The sequence below is a fragment of the Homo sapiens genome, chromosome 2 (assembly GCF_000001405.40).
Source record: "Homo sapiens chromosome 2, GRCh38.p14 Primary Assembly".
In the NCBI taxonomy this organism is placed as follows: Eukaryota; Metazoa; Chordata; class Mammalia; order Primates; family Hominidae; genus Homo; species Homo sapiens.
This window is the reverse complement of record NC_000002.12, coordinates 206,411,590-206,427,438: the sequence shown is the minus strand read 5'-3', so window position 1 is coordinate 206,427,438 and position 15,849 is coordinate 206,411,590. Positions and strand designations below refer to the sequence as shown.

The following is a 15,849-nucleotide window of genomic DNA, read 5'->3' as shown; positions in this document are numbered from 1 at the left end:
TATACACCATGGAATACTATGCAGCCATAAAAAAGGATGAGTTCATGTCCTTTGTAGGGACATGGATGAAGCTGGAAACCATCATTCTCAGCAAACTATTGCAAGGACAGAAAACCAAACACCACATGTTCTCACTCATAGGTGGGAATCGAACAATGAGAACACTTGGACACAGGATGGGGAACATCACACACCGGGGCCTGTTGTGGGGTGGGGGGACGGGGGAGGGATGGCATTAGGAGATATATCTAATGTAAATGACGAGTTAATGAGTGCAGCACACCAACATGGCACATGTATACATATGTAACAAACCTGCACGTTATGCACATGTACCCTAGAACTTAAAGTATAATAATAAATAAATAAATAAAAGTAGTGCCTTTAATCTTGCCCAAGGTGGTCCTGCAGCCTTTCAAAGAGCTTAATTAAGCCCATAGTAAGAAATATTGTATTTTACCAGGTTATATTGTAGGTCATAGAGAATGTGATTCTGCCCTCCCCACCATCAGCAGCATGGGATATGTGTGTGTGTGTGTGTGTGTGTGTGTATGTGTGTGTGTGTTGGAGGGCAATGAAGAAAGACTAGTTGACTCACAAAATATTTGTTCTTGCCCAAGAATCTGTGGTTCTGAGAAAGACAAAGACCTAGAAGAACATCCAGATGATCGGGAGGCAGTGTTTCCTACCTTGGTCACATCAGATTCAACAACAAAGTCCACTCACTTGTCTGACAGAAGTGACCAGCCCAGTGGTTCTAGTCACCTCAGGCCTCATCTAGGTGCTCCAAAGGCCAAGAAGCTCAGTATCTTAACACAACCATGTGCCTATGCACATCAGCTCAAAAACTCTGCCTTAAGTCCAGTGACCATAGCTTATTTGTCTTTATTTCCCTAGAATCTAGCAGAGGGTTCTAGCACTCAAAAATCTTTATTGAAAGATAGACATGGGCTGGCACGGTGGCTCATGCCTGTAATCCCAGCACTTTGGGAGGCTGAGGTGGGTGGATCACCTGAGGTCAAGGAGTTCGAGACCAGCCTGGCCAACATGGTGAAACTTCGTCTCTACTAAAAACACAAAAAACAAGCCAGGCATGGTGGGGGGGACGCCTGTAATCCCAGCTACTCGAGAGGCTGAGGCAGGAGGATTGCTTGAATCCGGGAAGCGGAGGTTGGATTGAGCCAAGATCGCATTGCTACACTCCAGCCTGGGCGACAGAGCGAGATTCTGTCTCAAAAGAAAAAAGAAAGATAGACATGAACACACAGGCTCCTTCTAACCCCAGGGAATGGAAGGTGCAAGATTCAAATAGCCGAAGTCCTCAGAATACTGTCCTGACTATTCAGAATCAGCTTGATCAGAGAAACTTGATGTTAATACTCATCTGTCATTTGCATGGATTTTTTTTTAAATAATAAAATGCAGGCGACAGTGTCAGACAGGCACACATTCATTGCTGGTAGGAAGACAAACAGGTGCCACTATTCTGGAAATGTGAATCATAAACCTTAATGTTTTCATACTCTGGGACTTTTAAGAATTTTTCCAGAGGAAAAATTCAAAAATGAAAATAAAAATTTATACCTGAAGATATTTATTACAGCATTATTTTGCACAACAATAGGGCATTAGGCAAATTATCATGTGATGGAATTTTATGAAGTTTTTTGGCATCATTTATGAAGAGTTTTGGTGACATAGGAAAGTACTTCTCTTGTACTATTAGGTGATTGAAAATAGAATACAAAGTGGTTTATAAATTTTAATTTCAACCATTTAAAAATATATATATACATATCGATATTCCAAAAATAACCAAATAATCACTGAGTGATAGGGTTATCGACAATTATTGGTTTCTTGGTTTCTTCTCTTTACCTTTCTTTTATTTTCTTACTTTCCTTTTTTTTTTTTTTTTTGAGACAGTTTTGCCCTTGTCTCCCAGGCTGGAGTGCAATGGCAAGACCTCAGCTCACTGCAACCTCCATCTCTGAGGTTCAAGCGATTCTCCTTCCTCAGCCTCCCAAGTAGCTGGCATTACAGGCACCTGCCACCACCCCAGCTAATTTTTTTGTATTTTTAGTAGAGACGGGGTTTCACCATGTTGGCCAGGCTGGTCTCGAACTCCTGACCTCAGGTAATCCACCCACCTCAGCCTCCCAAAGTGCTGGGATTACAGGCGTGAGCCACCATGCCCGGCCTACCTTTCTATATTTTCTAAATTTTCTACAGTAATACTGCCTTAGTTTTATAATCATAAAATATTTAGTAAAATCATATTTATGGGATCTGTAATGAGATGGTAAATTCTTATAACAGTAAGCAAATTAAGATGCATAATTGTATATATAATATGACTACAACATTTAACCTTTGTAAAATATATATTTAGAAAGGAAAACTCCAAAATAATAACTGTGGTTGTTTTTGGGTAATAAGATTGAGCAATTCTCATTCTCCTTTCTACTTTTCTGCATTTTTCAATTTCAAACAATGAAAATATATTGATCTTATGATGATAACAGCAATAAAATTTCATGATTTTTAGTTCAAAATTTAACTCAGGCTTATTTTGGTAGAATTTTCAAAGTAGAAGATTAAGGAAAGCTAAGTTGGAGGAGGACCTAATTATTATTTGAGAAAGAGCTCTGGCAAAAACGTCAGTGAGATTAAAACAGTCTCATTGTAGCTTGAAAAAGACCCCATTCAACTCGATTTTCATAATCTAGTCTGCAGTCACTGTTAGACTTGAGAACAACAGTTAAACTTTGACATTTTCTGCACTCTAACTTTTCTTTCTATTCCAACAACTCACAGCTATGTCAATTTTTACATTTAAAGCATCTCTGGAAACAAGAAACAATGTTTAACAGACATAAAGACAATAAAAATACAATGTCTCCTTATTATCTTTTTCATCTTCAACATGTTTTTACTAAGATTCATTTGTCAAGAAATGACAGATGTGGAGAGTTTACCAAAAAAGGACACAGCCTTTAGCATATAATCAGGGAGAATTTCTTTCTACTGATCCATGTTGACATTAACTAGCAATAAGGTTGCTTGGCATTTCCTCCCTGGAAGTGAATTTGCCCCGTTACTGGAATATCTTTCTTCCGCTTCATAAATCTGATAGTGTGAGCATCAGGAAGCCCTGCTACTGTCCAACACTACTTCTAGTGGGCTAGAAAATAAGCAGCTCCATGTTTATGACAATTCTGACTACTTACGGGTGAAAAGAAACAGAAAAAAAACCAAGAAGGCTATCAAAATGCAAAATAATTCAAATGGCAAAATTAATCTCTTCCAGTTTTTGGAATATAATCTGCCAATCCCTTTGTGTTTTAATGTGCTGACAGTGAAAAGAAGAAATTAATCTCAAGAAGCATTTTAGCTGATAATGAATTATCAATTTGAAACTAAGATATTTATTCTAATGGAGCATGCAATATATCAGAGAAAGTATTTAGCAAGAAGTCTCCTTCCCCTCATCCCACCCTGAGGCTATAACACTGAGCTGCTTTACCATTAACACAGGGATTCGCTGATACACTAGGTCTTTTGAAACCTGTCCAAACATTTCTCTCTATTCTTTCTACTCATACAGTAAATTATCATGAGATGGAATTTTATAAAGCTTTTTAGGCATCAATTATGGAGAGTTTTGTTGACATAGGAAAGTACTTCTCTTGCACTATTAAGTGATTAAAAAAAGATTACAAAGTGATGCAAAGTTATAATTTCAACCATTCTAAATATATATATATATACATATTAATATTCCAAAAATAACCAAATAACCACTGAGTTATTATGGGCAATTATTGGTTTCTTCTCTTTACCTTTCTATATTTTCTAAATTCTCTAATATTAAAGTGAAAAATAGAATTTGTACACAGATAAATAAATGTCAAAGGGCTGTGGAGTAAAATATGAAGAACGGAAGAAAGGACATTGTAGCAGAGGATGCTAGCTGCTCACCAATATCTAATTGCTCTCTTTCCTGGGCACACAGGTAAACTACATTTCCCAGCCTCCCCTGAAGCTATGAGCAGTCAGTCACGTGGCTGTGTTCTGGCCAATGGATGCAGGCAGGAGAGAGACATCACTTCTGGACCTGGACCAGAACAACCTCCATGTGCAATCCAGTCTCTCTGGCTTCACCTGCCAGTTGAATGGAGAAGTCCTCAATGACATTAAAAAGAAAAGGAAAGAAAAACTGTGAGGAAATAGCAGAGGAGAGCTGCCCAGGAACTGCTTGTCCACAAATGCTCATATTGAACTATTACATGAGCAAAAACTAAACTTTTATTATGTTAAGCCACTGAAATGTTGGGGTTGTTTGTTTTAGCAGTTAGTCTACCTTACGACCATAATTACATCTATTTAAACAACTGTTGAAACAGCCATCCACATAGAGAACTTCACCTATGTTATATCCATGATGAAAAGCAGAAACTTAAAAAATGACAAATTTGTGTTTTCAGCCCACAGATAAATAATTCAAATTACTGTTTGATTTCACAAATCCCTTGTTCTCTAGATGTGGTGAAACATTTAAAAAGTTTTTGCTAACTTGGTGGCCATCAATCTGAGAACATCACATCACTCTGCATAGGATGTGATTAGATTTAGATTTGGAGGAAGACATCACAGAAGAGGTAGCATTTCAACTCAGTCTTGAAATATGAGAAAGAGCAAAACATGTGATTAGTGTCCAAGAATTTTAAACAGGAAAGGGTTCTTAAGATAAGAAAACTAAGAGCCAGAGAGGCTGGAACTTGTCCAAGGTCACACTACCATACTGTAGCAATCCTTGGTTTAGATGAGGAATTCCTTCACTTCCAGGCTAATATTTCTTGTCTTTCCCATTTTCCTCCATATTAACTCACATAGCAAAGTATGTTTTGTGAATTGTCTGTTATTAGGCAATGACTGCATGCATTTTCAAAATTTTTAATATCTGTCTACACACACACATGTTCATAAACATACCTGCATGTATGTAGGTATGTTCCTAGCTGAACCACAGCAGATCCTCTAATACAATTGTGTCCATAATTAAGGAATACTTCTCCATTCCTGCTGACTTCAAATTGCAAATATCTAGCCACATACACTATGTGGTAACTAGTCTCCTAAGATGGACACCAAATTTCACGCCTCGTGGTATCCATGCCCTCGTGTGGTTCTCTCCTACACCGACTTAAGATTTCCAATCGAAAGTGGTCAAAGTGGCACGGCACCAATTTCAGCCTTTAAAAGGACTGGCTGCTGCTTCTTCCTCCCTCTTGGAACATTCCATTTGTGGAATCCAGAGCCACAGTGTAAGAAGTACAGCCATGTAATTAGGGTGGGCGCAGTGGCTCATGCCTGCAATCCCAGCACTCTGGGAGGCTAAGGCGGGTGGATCACTTGAGGTCAGGGGTTCGAGACCAGCCTGGCGAACATGGTGAAACTATGTCTCTACTAAAAATACAAAAATTAGCCAGGCGTGGTGGCACATGCCTGCAATCCCAGCTACTCAGGAGGCTGAGGCACAAGAATCGCTTGAACCTGGGAGGTGGAAGTTGCAGTGAGCTGAGATCATGCCATTGCACTCCAGCCTAGGCCTGGGTGACAGAGTGAGATTCTGTCTCAAAAAAGAAGGAAGGAAGTACAGCTACATGACTAGAAAGACCACACAGAGAGGCCATATGGAGAAGGAAAGAGACCTAGCTGTCTCGGGATCCCAGTTGCAACCACCAGTTGACCCCCACCACAGCCAACATCTTACTGCAGCCACAAGAAAGATCCCAGTTAAACCAGTAGAACTTCATGGCTGTGCTCAGTCAACCACAGAACAATGAGAGCTAATAAACTGGTTATTGTTTAAGTACTCATAAGTTTTAAGTTTAAGCAATACACGACCAAAACAGGACTTGATTCATAGAAGTAGGGTGTTGCCATAACAAAACCCTAAAACATATGGCATGGGCTTTGGAATTCAGTGGCAGGCAGAAGCTGGAAAGCTCCTTAAGGAGGTGAATAGTGAAGACTCGAAGGACACCGAAGAAATTGCTATTGGAAACTGGAGAAAACGTGACCTGAATTATGTGCAGACCAATTAGCAAAACTATCCCCTGTAGCATGGAAGACAGGAAGAATATGTCGTAAACAGATAGCTCTGGCTAGGAGATTTTCAGTCAGAATGCAGTCAGCTTCTCTGTATCCATGGGTTCTGCCTCCACGGGTTCCTCATCCATTGGCTCAACCAACCATGGGTGGAAAATACTCAAATAAATAATAATAGTACAGCAATAAAAATAATACCCATTTTTAAAATGTAGTACCACTATTTACATAGCATTTACATTGTATCTGATATTATAAGTAATCTAGAGATGTTTTAAAGTATACGGAAGGATGTGCATAGTTTATATGCAAATACTCTACCATTTTATATAAGGGACTTGAGCATCCTCGCATTCTGGTATCTGCAGTGTTCCTGGAACCAATTCCCCACACATACGACTGTATCAAAAGCACCAACTGGCTTCTTTTGGCTGCCTGTGTTAACATACAGGAGGAGAAACATGAACTAAAAAAGTAATTCTTCAGTTTTTAACCAAAATTAGGAGAAAATATACAGAATTTAGGACTTTCTGGATTCAAAAATAAAACTTTCTCTTTTCTAGCTCCTCCAGGCAGCAAAAGATCCTGGAAGAGATGACCTCACAGCAAAGATCAAATCCAGGACTCTTCTGGCAAAACATGATCCCAGGAGTAATTTTGCATCAGTGAGGTAGCCAATTTGTTGAGACCTTAGGAAGTGTTGAGGATATTCCTCATAGACCCTTTTATCTACACAGAAAGACTTCTAAGAACCTTAAATGGTATGTCTTATAAACACTCTCACCCAGACAATAGAGCTTCTAAGAATATTAAGACATTGTCCCACAGCACCCTGATTCACAGGCCAAGGTAGAGGGGGTCTGTCTCAAAAACAATTGTGTATGTGGCTTCTGTCTAATCGAGTGACCCTGTAAGGTTGATAGGACACTGGCACAGTTCAAGAGAACTGTACCATCAGCTTGGACTAAAAGATGCAAACATAGTTTAAAATGAAAAGAAGTCTGATATATGTTCATCAGCTTGCTCCTTTCCCCCCGTGGACGCCGCCAAAGAAGCATAGTTAAAGTCTCTCTTCTTCCTGCTGTCATGTCTAAGTCAGAGTCTCCTAAAGAGCCCGAACAGCTGAGGAAACTCTTCATTGGAGGGTTGAGCTTTGAAACAACCGATGAGAGCCTGAGGAGCCATTTTGAGCAATGGGGGAACACTCACAGACTGTGTGGTAATGAGAGATCCAAACACCAAGTGCTCCACGGGCTTTGGTTTTGTCATATATGACACTGTGGAGGAGGGGGATGCAGCCATGAATGCCAGGCCACACAAGGTGGATGGAAGAGTCATGGAACCAAAGAGAGCTGTCTCAAGAGAAGATTCTCAGAGACCAGGTGCCCACTTAACTGTGAAAAAGATATTTGTTGGTGGCATTAAAGAAGACACTGAAGAACATCACCTAAGAGATTATTTTGAGCAGTGTAGAAAAATTGAAGTGACTGAAATCATGACTGACAGAGTCAGTGGCAACAAAAGGGGCTTTGCCTTTGTAATCTTTGACAACCATGACTCTGTGGATAAGATTGTCATTCAGAAATACCACACTGTGAATGGCCACAACTGTGAAGTTAGGAAAGCCCTGTGAAAGCAAGAGATGGCTAATGCTTCGTCCAGCCAAAGAGGTCGAAGTTGTTCTGGAAACTTTGGTCGTGGTCGTGGAGGTGGTTTTGGTGGGAATGACAACTTTGGTCATGGAGGAAACTTCAGTGGTCGTGGTGGCTTTGGTGGCAGCCATGGTGGTGGTGGATATGGTGGCAGTGGGGATGGCTATAATGGATTTGGTAATGATGGAAGCAATTTTGGAAGTGGTGGAAGCTACAATGACTTTGGCAATTACAACAGTCTTCAAATTTTGGACCCATGAAGGGAGGATTGGAGGCAGAACCTCTGGCCCCTATGGTGGTGGAGACCAATACTTAGCCAAACCATGAAACCAAGGTGGCTATGGCTGTTCCAGTAGCAGCAGTAGCTATGGCAGTGGCAGAAGCTTAGCAGGATAGGAGAGCCAGAGAAGTGACAGGGAAGCTACAAGTTACAACAGATTTGTGAACCCAGCAAAACACAGTGGTGGCATGGCCTAGCTGCTACAAAGAAGACATGTTTTAGACAAGTACTCATGTGTATGGGCAAAAAGCTCGAGGACTGTATTTGTGACTAATTGTATAACAGGTTATTTTAGTTTCTGTTCTGTGGAAAGTGTAAAGCATTCCAACAAAGGATTTTGAAATGTAGATTTTTTTTTGCACCCATGCTATTGATTGCTAAATGTAATAGTCTGATCGTGATGCTGAATAAATGTCTTTAAAAAAAATGAAAAGAAGTCGCTGGGCCATAGGTTTATATTGATAGAAAGAAAGCTGAGGAAGCTACTCAGCTGTAAATACAGGCCATTTCTTATGCAAAAGGAAAGATGACTCAGAGGGTGAAAACAAAGCCTAAATGGTGGAACCAAGAGCCACAGAGGACCACTCTAGGGAGTAGAAATGAATTTTGGTCAAAGAATTGGCAAAATTTTCTCAACTTAATTTCAGAATTGCTATGAACCAGTGACTGCTCTATGCTTCCTGTTTTCCCTTTCATGAATGGGATTTCTATTTCAGTTTTTCATCACTGCCTAGCCATTGTATTTGTGTTTTGGGTGGGAAGCGGATTATTTGTCTTTTTACTTCATCAGTCTTCAGGTTGACGATAGCTGAACCCAAGAAACCTTAAGCTCACCTAGATATGATTCAGATGACATGATCCTGGATTTAAAGCCCAAACCTGATGCCATGGTATGAGTAGACTTCAATGGTCTTGGAAGGGAGAAAAATGTATTTTGCATGAAGGAAGGACATACATTATTGAGAAACAGAGGGTGGACTGTGGTGGCTAGTCTCTAAGGATGGCCATCCATTGTACCATGACACTCAGTATTCATATCCTTGCATAAAACCCTCCCACATTGAATCTGGGCTGGCCTGTGACTTGAGTTAACCAGTAGAATTCAGCAAAAGTGATGCTACACTATTTCTAAGCCTAGCCTTTAAAAGGATGGACTGATTTTTTTTTCCTCCATCTTGGAATGCTGGCTTTGGGAAACCCTAAGCTGCCACGTAAAAAGTCCCGTGACAGAGGCCACATGGAGTGGCCATAAGAACAGAAGAGGTCTTCCAACTCAAATGTCCACCAATGATAGACTGGATTAAGAAAATGTGGCACATATACACCATGGAATACTATGCAGCCATAAAAAAGGATGAGTTCACGTCTTTGTAGGGACATGGATGAAGCTGGAAACTATCATTCTCAGCAAGATATCACAAGGACAAAAAACCAAACACCACATGTTCTCACTCATAGGTGGGAATTGAACAATGAGAACACATGGACACAGGAAGCGGGACATCACAATGGGGCCTGCTGTGGGGTTGGGGGAGGGGGGAGGGATAGCATTTGGAGATATACCTAATGTTAAATGACGAGTTACTGGGTGCAGCACACCAACATGGCACATGTATATATATGTAACTAACCTGCATGTTGTGCACATGTACCCTAAAACTTTGAGTATAATTAAAAAAGAAAAAAAAAGAACAGAAGAGGTCTTGAGTCTACTTAGAGAATGAACAGGCACATTGATTGCAGTAAAGTCCAGATGACTCTAACCACAGTCACCAACTGACGGCAACCATATGAGAAATTCCAAGTGAAACGAGCAGAACTGCCCACCTGAGTCAACCCATGAAACTATGAGAGATAATAAAACGATGGTTATTTTAAGCCACTAGGTTTTAGAGATACTTGTTAACAGCAAAGATGATCAAAACATACTTATTTGCATGACTCCTGAGGACTCCATGGCAATGAGTTTGAACCTATGTACAACCAAGTTTCAGAAATATATAGGCATGTCCAGTGGGCTTGGGAAGAGGGCCACCATAAGCCAGACTCCAGAGAGGAGTCTGCCACAGTGAGCCAGGTCTGAGGATAAGTGTTTAATAGATGGAAACATTTGTTCTGAGTTCAAATGAGGCTCAACTCAAGCCACCCTCATCCAACCACCCGGTTCCCTATATAATATGGGGCTAAAAAGCAAAAGCAAGATTATCAGAAAAAAGTTATATAAAAAAACCTTATCATTATGAGCCTAAGCAATTCTGCCAGAAAGATACCTTTTTTCTCTTCCACCTCACTCTCATCCCTTGTCCCAATCCCTACCGAAGAGTGGAGCAAAAAAAAATGTAACCAACAAGCCAGAGAAAGGAGTGAACACCAAAGGTGGGAAACAGGTTAGTTCCCCTGGGTACACACTCCAAGTACACCAATAGAGAGGTTAGGCACCATCAATGTGGACAATGTGGACAAATCGTTATTAATAATTAATGAGGGACAATGAGGGAAGCTGCCAAAACAGAAGGCTGGCAGACATAGGATGTTGACATAAACTACATGAGAAACAAACTCCCATTTTTGTAGATTCACAGAGAGAAGAAAGATTGAGGTAAGGTGAGAAGGTAAGGTGAGCGATGCTATTAATTGACACACATATAGGGAAAAACAGTTGAAGTCATCTCATCCAGGAGCCAGAAGCTTGTTGGGGACATTTGGGTTACATATGTGAATCCTTTATTGAACTTATCACAGAGAGCAAATACCATATTCTTAATCATCTTTCTATCTGTAGTTCCCAGGACCATGCCTGGTACAGAGTAGGTCTCAATCAGTATTGGCTTAGAAATATTATGGCAATCAGAAATAAATAAAAAAGTGGCTTGGGGTGGTGGCTCACACCTGTAGTCCCAGCACTTTGGGAGGCCGAGGTGGGCAGATCACTTGAGGTCAGGAGTTTGAGACCAGCCTGGCAAACATGGCAAAACTTCATCTCTACTAAAAAATACAAAAAAAAAAAAAAAAAAAAAATAGCCAGGCATTGTGGTGCAGGCCTGTAATCCCAGCTACTTGGCAGGCTGAGGCAGGAGAATTGCTTGAACCCAGGAAGCAGAGATTGCAGTGAGCCAAGATGATGCCACTGCACTCCAGCCTGGGCAACAGAGTGAGACTCTGTTTCAAAAAAAAAGAGAGAGCCGTTTCAAGATGGCCGAATAGGAACAGCTTCAGTCTGCAGCTCCCAGTGTGATCAATGCAGAAGACGGGTGATTTCTGCATTTTCAACTGAGGTCCCTGGTTCATCTCATTGGTTCTGGTTGGACAGTGGGTGCAGCCCACAGAGGGCAAGCCGAAGCAGGGCGGGGTGTCACCTCACCCAGGAAGCATGAAGGATCAGGGGATTTCCCTTTCCTAGCCAAGGGAAGTCGTGACAAACTGTACCTGGAAAAACGGCACACTCCCACTCAAATACTGCACTTTTCCAACCATCTTAGAAAACGGCACACCAGGAGATTATATCCTGCCCCTGGTTCAGTGGGTCCCATGCCCACAAAGCCTTGCTCACTGCTAGCACAGCAGTCTGAGATCAGCCTGCGAGGCAGCAGCCCAGCAGGGGGAGGGGCGTCCGCCATTGCTGAGGCTTGAGTAGGTAAACAAAGTGGCTGGGAAGCTCGAACTGGGCAGAGCCCACTGCAGCGCAGCAAGGCTTGCTGCCTCTATAGGCTCCATCTCTGGGGGCAAGGCATAGCTGAACAAAAGGCAGAGAAACATCTGCAGACTTAAACATCCCTGTCTGACAGCTCTGAAGAGAGCAGTGGTTCTCCCAGCATGGTGTTTGAGCTCTGAGAACAGACAGACTGCCTCCTCAAGTGGGTCCCTGACCCCCATGTAGCCTAACTGGGAGACACCTCCCAGTAGGGGCTGACTGACACCTCATACTGCCGTGTGCCCCTCTGTGACAAAGCTTCCAGAGGAAGGATCAGGCAGCAATATTTGCTGTTCCGCAATATTTGCTGTTCTACAGCCTCCACTGGTGATACCCAGGCACACAGTGTCTGAAATGAATCTCCAGCAAACTCCAACAGACCTGCAGCCAACGGACCTGACTGTTAGAAGGAAAAATAACAAACAGAAAGGGATAGCATCAACATCAACAAAAAGGACATCCACACCAAAACCCCATCTGTAGGGCACCAACATCAAAGACCAAAGGTAGATAAAACCACAAAGATGGGAGAAACCAGAACAGAAAAGCTGAAAATTCTAAAAACCAGAGCACCTCTTCTCCTTCAAAGGATCGCAGCTCCTCGCAAGCAACGGAACAAAGCTGGATGGAGAATGACTTTGACAAGTTGACAGAAGTAGGCTTCAGAAGGTTGGTAATAACAAACTTCTCCAAGCTAAAGGAGGATGCTTGAACCCATCGCAAGGAAGCTAAAAACCTTGAAAAAAGATTAGACAATTGGCTAACTAGAATAAACAGTGTAGAGAAGACTTTAAATGACCTGATAGAGCTGAAAACCATGGCACAAGAACTACATGACACATGCCCAAGCTTCAATACCTGATTCAATCAAGTGGAAGAAAGGGTATCAGTGATTGAAGATGAAATTAATGAAATAAAGCAAGAAGTTTAGAGAAAAAAGAGTAAAAAGAAATGAACAAAGCCTCCAAGAAATATACGACTATGTAAAAAGACCAAATCTACGTTTGATTGATGTACCTGAAAGTGACGAGAATGAAACCAAGTTGGAAAACACTCTTCAGGATATTATCCAGGAGAACTTTCCCAACCTAGCAATGCAGGCCAATATTCAAATTCAGGAAATACATAGAACACCACAAAGATACTCCCCAAGAAGAACAACCCCAAGACACATAATTGTCAGATTCACCAAGGTTGAAATGAAGGAAAAAATGTTAAGAGAAGCCAGAGAGAAAGGTCAGGTTACCCACAAAGGGAAGCCCATCAGACTAACAGTGGATCTCTTGGCAGAAACTCTACAAGCCAGAAGAGAGTGGGGTCAATATTCAACATTCTTAAAGAAAAGAATTTTTAACCCAGAATTTCATATCCAGCCAAACTAAGCTTCGTAAGTGAAGGAGAAATAAAATCCTTTACAGACAAGCAAATGCTGAGAGATTTTGTCACCACCAGGCCTGTCTTACAAGAGCTCCTGAAGGAAGCACTAAACATGGAAAGGAACAACTGTACCAGCCACTGCAAAAACATGCCAAATTGTAAAGACCATCGATACTAGGAAGAAACCACATCAATTAATGGGCAAAATAACAAGCTAACATCATAATGACAGGATCAAATTCACACATAACAATATTTACCTTAAAAATAAATGGGCTAAATGCTCCAATTAAAAGACACAGACTGGCAAATTGGATAAAGAGTCAAGACCCATCAGTGTGCTGTATTCAGGAGACACATCTCATGCTCAAAGACACACATAGGCTGAAAATAAAGGGATAGAGGAAGATCTACCAAGCAAATGGAGAACAAAAAAAAGCAGGGGTAGCAATCCTAGTCTCTGATGAAACAGACTTTAAACCAACAAAGATCAAAAGAGACAAAGAAGGCCATTACATAATGGTAAAGGGATCAATTCAACAAGAAGAGCTAACTATCCTAAATACATATGCACCCAATACAGGAGCACCCAGATTCATAAAGCAAGTCCTTGGAGACCTACAAAGAGACTTAGACTCCCACACAATAATAATGGGAGACTTTAACACCCCACTGTCAATATTGGACAGATCAATGAGACAGAAGGTTAACAAGGATACCCAGGACTTGAACTCAGCTCTGCACCAAGTGGACCTAATAGACATCTACAGAACTCTTCACCCCAAATCAACAGAATATACATTCTTCTCAGCACCACATTGCACTTATTCCAAAATTGACCACATAGTTGGAAGTAAAGCACTCCTCAGCAAATGGAAAATAGAAATCACAACAAACTATCTCTCAGACCACAGTGCAATCAAATTCGAACTCAGGATTAAGAAACTCACTCAAAACAGCTCAACTACATGGAAACTGAATAACCTGCTCCTGAATGACTACTGGGTAAATACCGAAATGAAGGCAGAAATAAAGATGTTCTTTGAAACCAATGAGAAAAAAGACACAACGTACCAGAATCTCTGGGACACATTTAAAGCAGTGTGTACAGGGAAATTTATAGCACTAAATGCCCACAAGAGAAAGCAGGAAAGATCTAAAATCAATACCCTAGCACCACAATTAAAAGAACCAGAGAAGCAAGAGCAAACAAATTCAAAAGCCAGCAGAAGGCAAGAAATAACTAAGATCAGAGCAGAACTGAAGGAGATAGAGACACAAAAAAACCTTCAAAAAATCAATGAATCCAGGAGCTGGTTTTTTGCAAAGATAAACAGAACTGATAGACCGCTAGCAAGACTAATGAAGAAGAAAAGAGGGAAGAATCAAATAGACACGATAAAAAATTATAAAGGGGATATCACCACCAATCCCATGGAAATACAAACTACCATCAGAGAATACTATAAACACCTCTAAGCAAATAAACTAGAAAATCTAGAAGAAATGGATGAATTCCTGGACACATACACTCTCCCAAGACTAAAGCAGGATGAAGTGGAATTTCTGAATAGACCAATAACAGGCTCTGAAATTGAGCCAATAATTAATAGCCTGCCAACCAAAAAAAGTCCAAGACCAGACGGATTCACAGCCTAATTCTACCAGAGGTACAAAGAGAAGCTGGTACCATTCCTTCTGAAACTATTCCAATGAAAAGAAAAAGAGGGAATCTTCCCTAACTCATTTTATGAGGCCAGCATCATCCTGATACCAAAGTCTGGAAGAGACACAACAAAAAAAAGAGAATTTTAGACCAATATCCCTGATGAAGATCAATGCAAAAATCCTCAATAAAATACTGGCAAACCGAATTCAGCAGCACATCAGAAAGCTTATCCACCATGATCAAGTTGGCTTCATCCCTGGGATGCAAGTCTGGTTCAACATACACAAATCAATAAATGTTAATCCTTCACATAAACAGAACCAATGACAGAAACCACATGTTTATCTCAATAGATGCAGAAAAAGTCTTCAACAAAATTCAACAGCCTTTCATGCTAAAAACTCTCAATAAACTAGGTATTGATGGAGTGTATCTCAAAATAATAAGAGCTATTTATGACAAACCCACAGCCAATATCATACTGAATGGGCAAAAACTGGAAGCATTCCCTTTGAAAACCAGCACAAGACAAGGATGCCCTCTCTCACCACTCCTATTCAACATAGAGTTGGAAGTTCTGGCCAGGGCAATCAGGCAAGAGAAATAAATAAAGGGTATTGAATTAGGAAAAGAGGAAGTCAAATTGTTCCTGTTTGCAGATGACATGATTGTATATTTAGAAAACCCCATCGTCTCAGCCCAAAATCTCCTTAAGCTGATAAGCAACTTCAGCAAAGTCTCAGGATACAAAATCAATGTGCAAAAATCACAAGCATTCTTATACACCAATAACAGACAGACAGAGAGCCAAATCATGAGTGAACTCCCATTCACAATTGCTTCAAAGAGAATAAAATACCTAGGAATCCAACTTACAAGGGATGTGAAGGACCTCTTCAAGGAGAACTACAAACCACTGCTCAATGAAATAAAAGAGGACACAAACAAATGGAAGAACATTCCATGCTCACGGATAGGAAGAGTCAATATCATGAAAATGGCCATACTGCCCAAGGTAATTTATAGATTCAATGCCACCCCATCAAGCTACCAAAGACTTTCTTCA

The 15,849-nt window shown here is 40.8% G+C and overlaps 1 pseudogene, besides 1 other annotated feature; it reads left to right on the top strand.

Annotated features, from left to right (window-relative positions):
* Positions 7,121-8,465, top strand: HNRNPA1P51 (heterogeneous nuclear ribonucleoprotein A1 pseudogene 51; annotated as a pseudogene).
* Positions 11,597-12,097: an enhancer, noted in NCBI's record as "H3K4me1 hESC enhancer chr2:207280066-207280566 (GRCh37/hg19 assembly coordinates)". NCBI's record gives its function as "activates a minimal SCP1, AML or CMV promoter by ChIP-STARR-seq in primed H9 embryonic stem cells {active_cell/tissue: H9 hESC(primed)}" and the evidence as "EXISTENCE:reporter gene assay evidence [ECO:0000049][PMID:30033119]".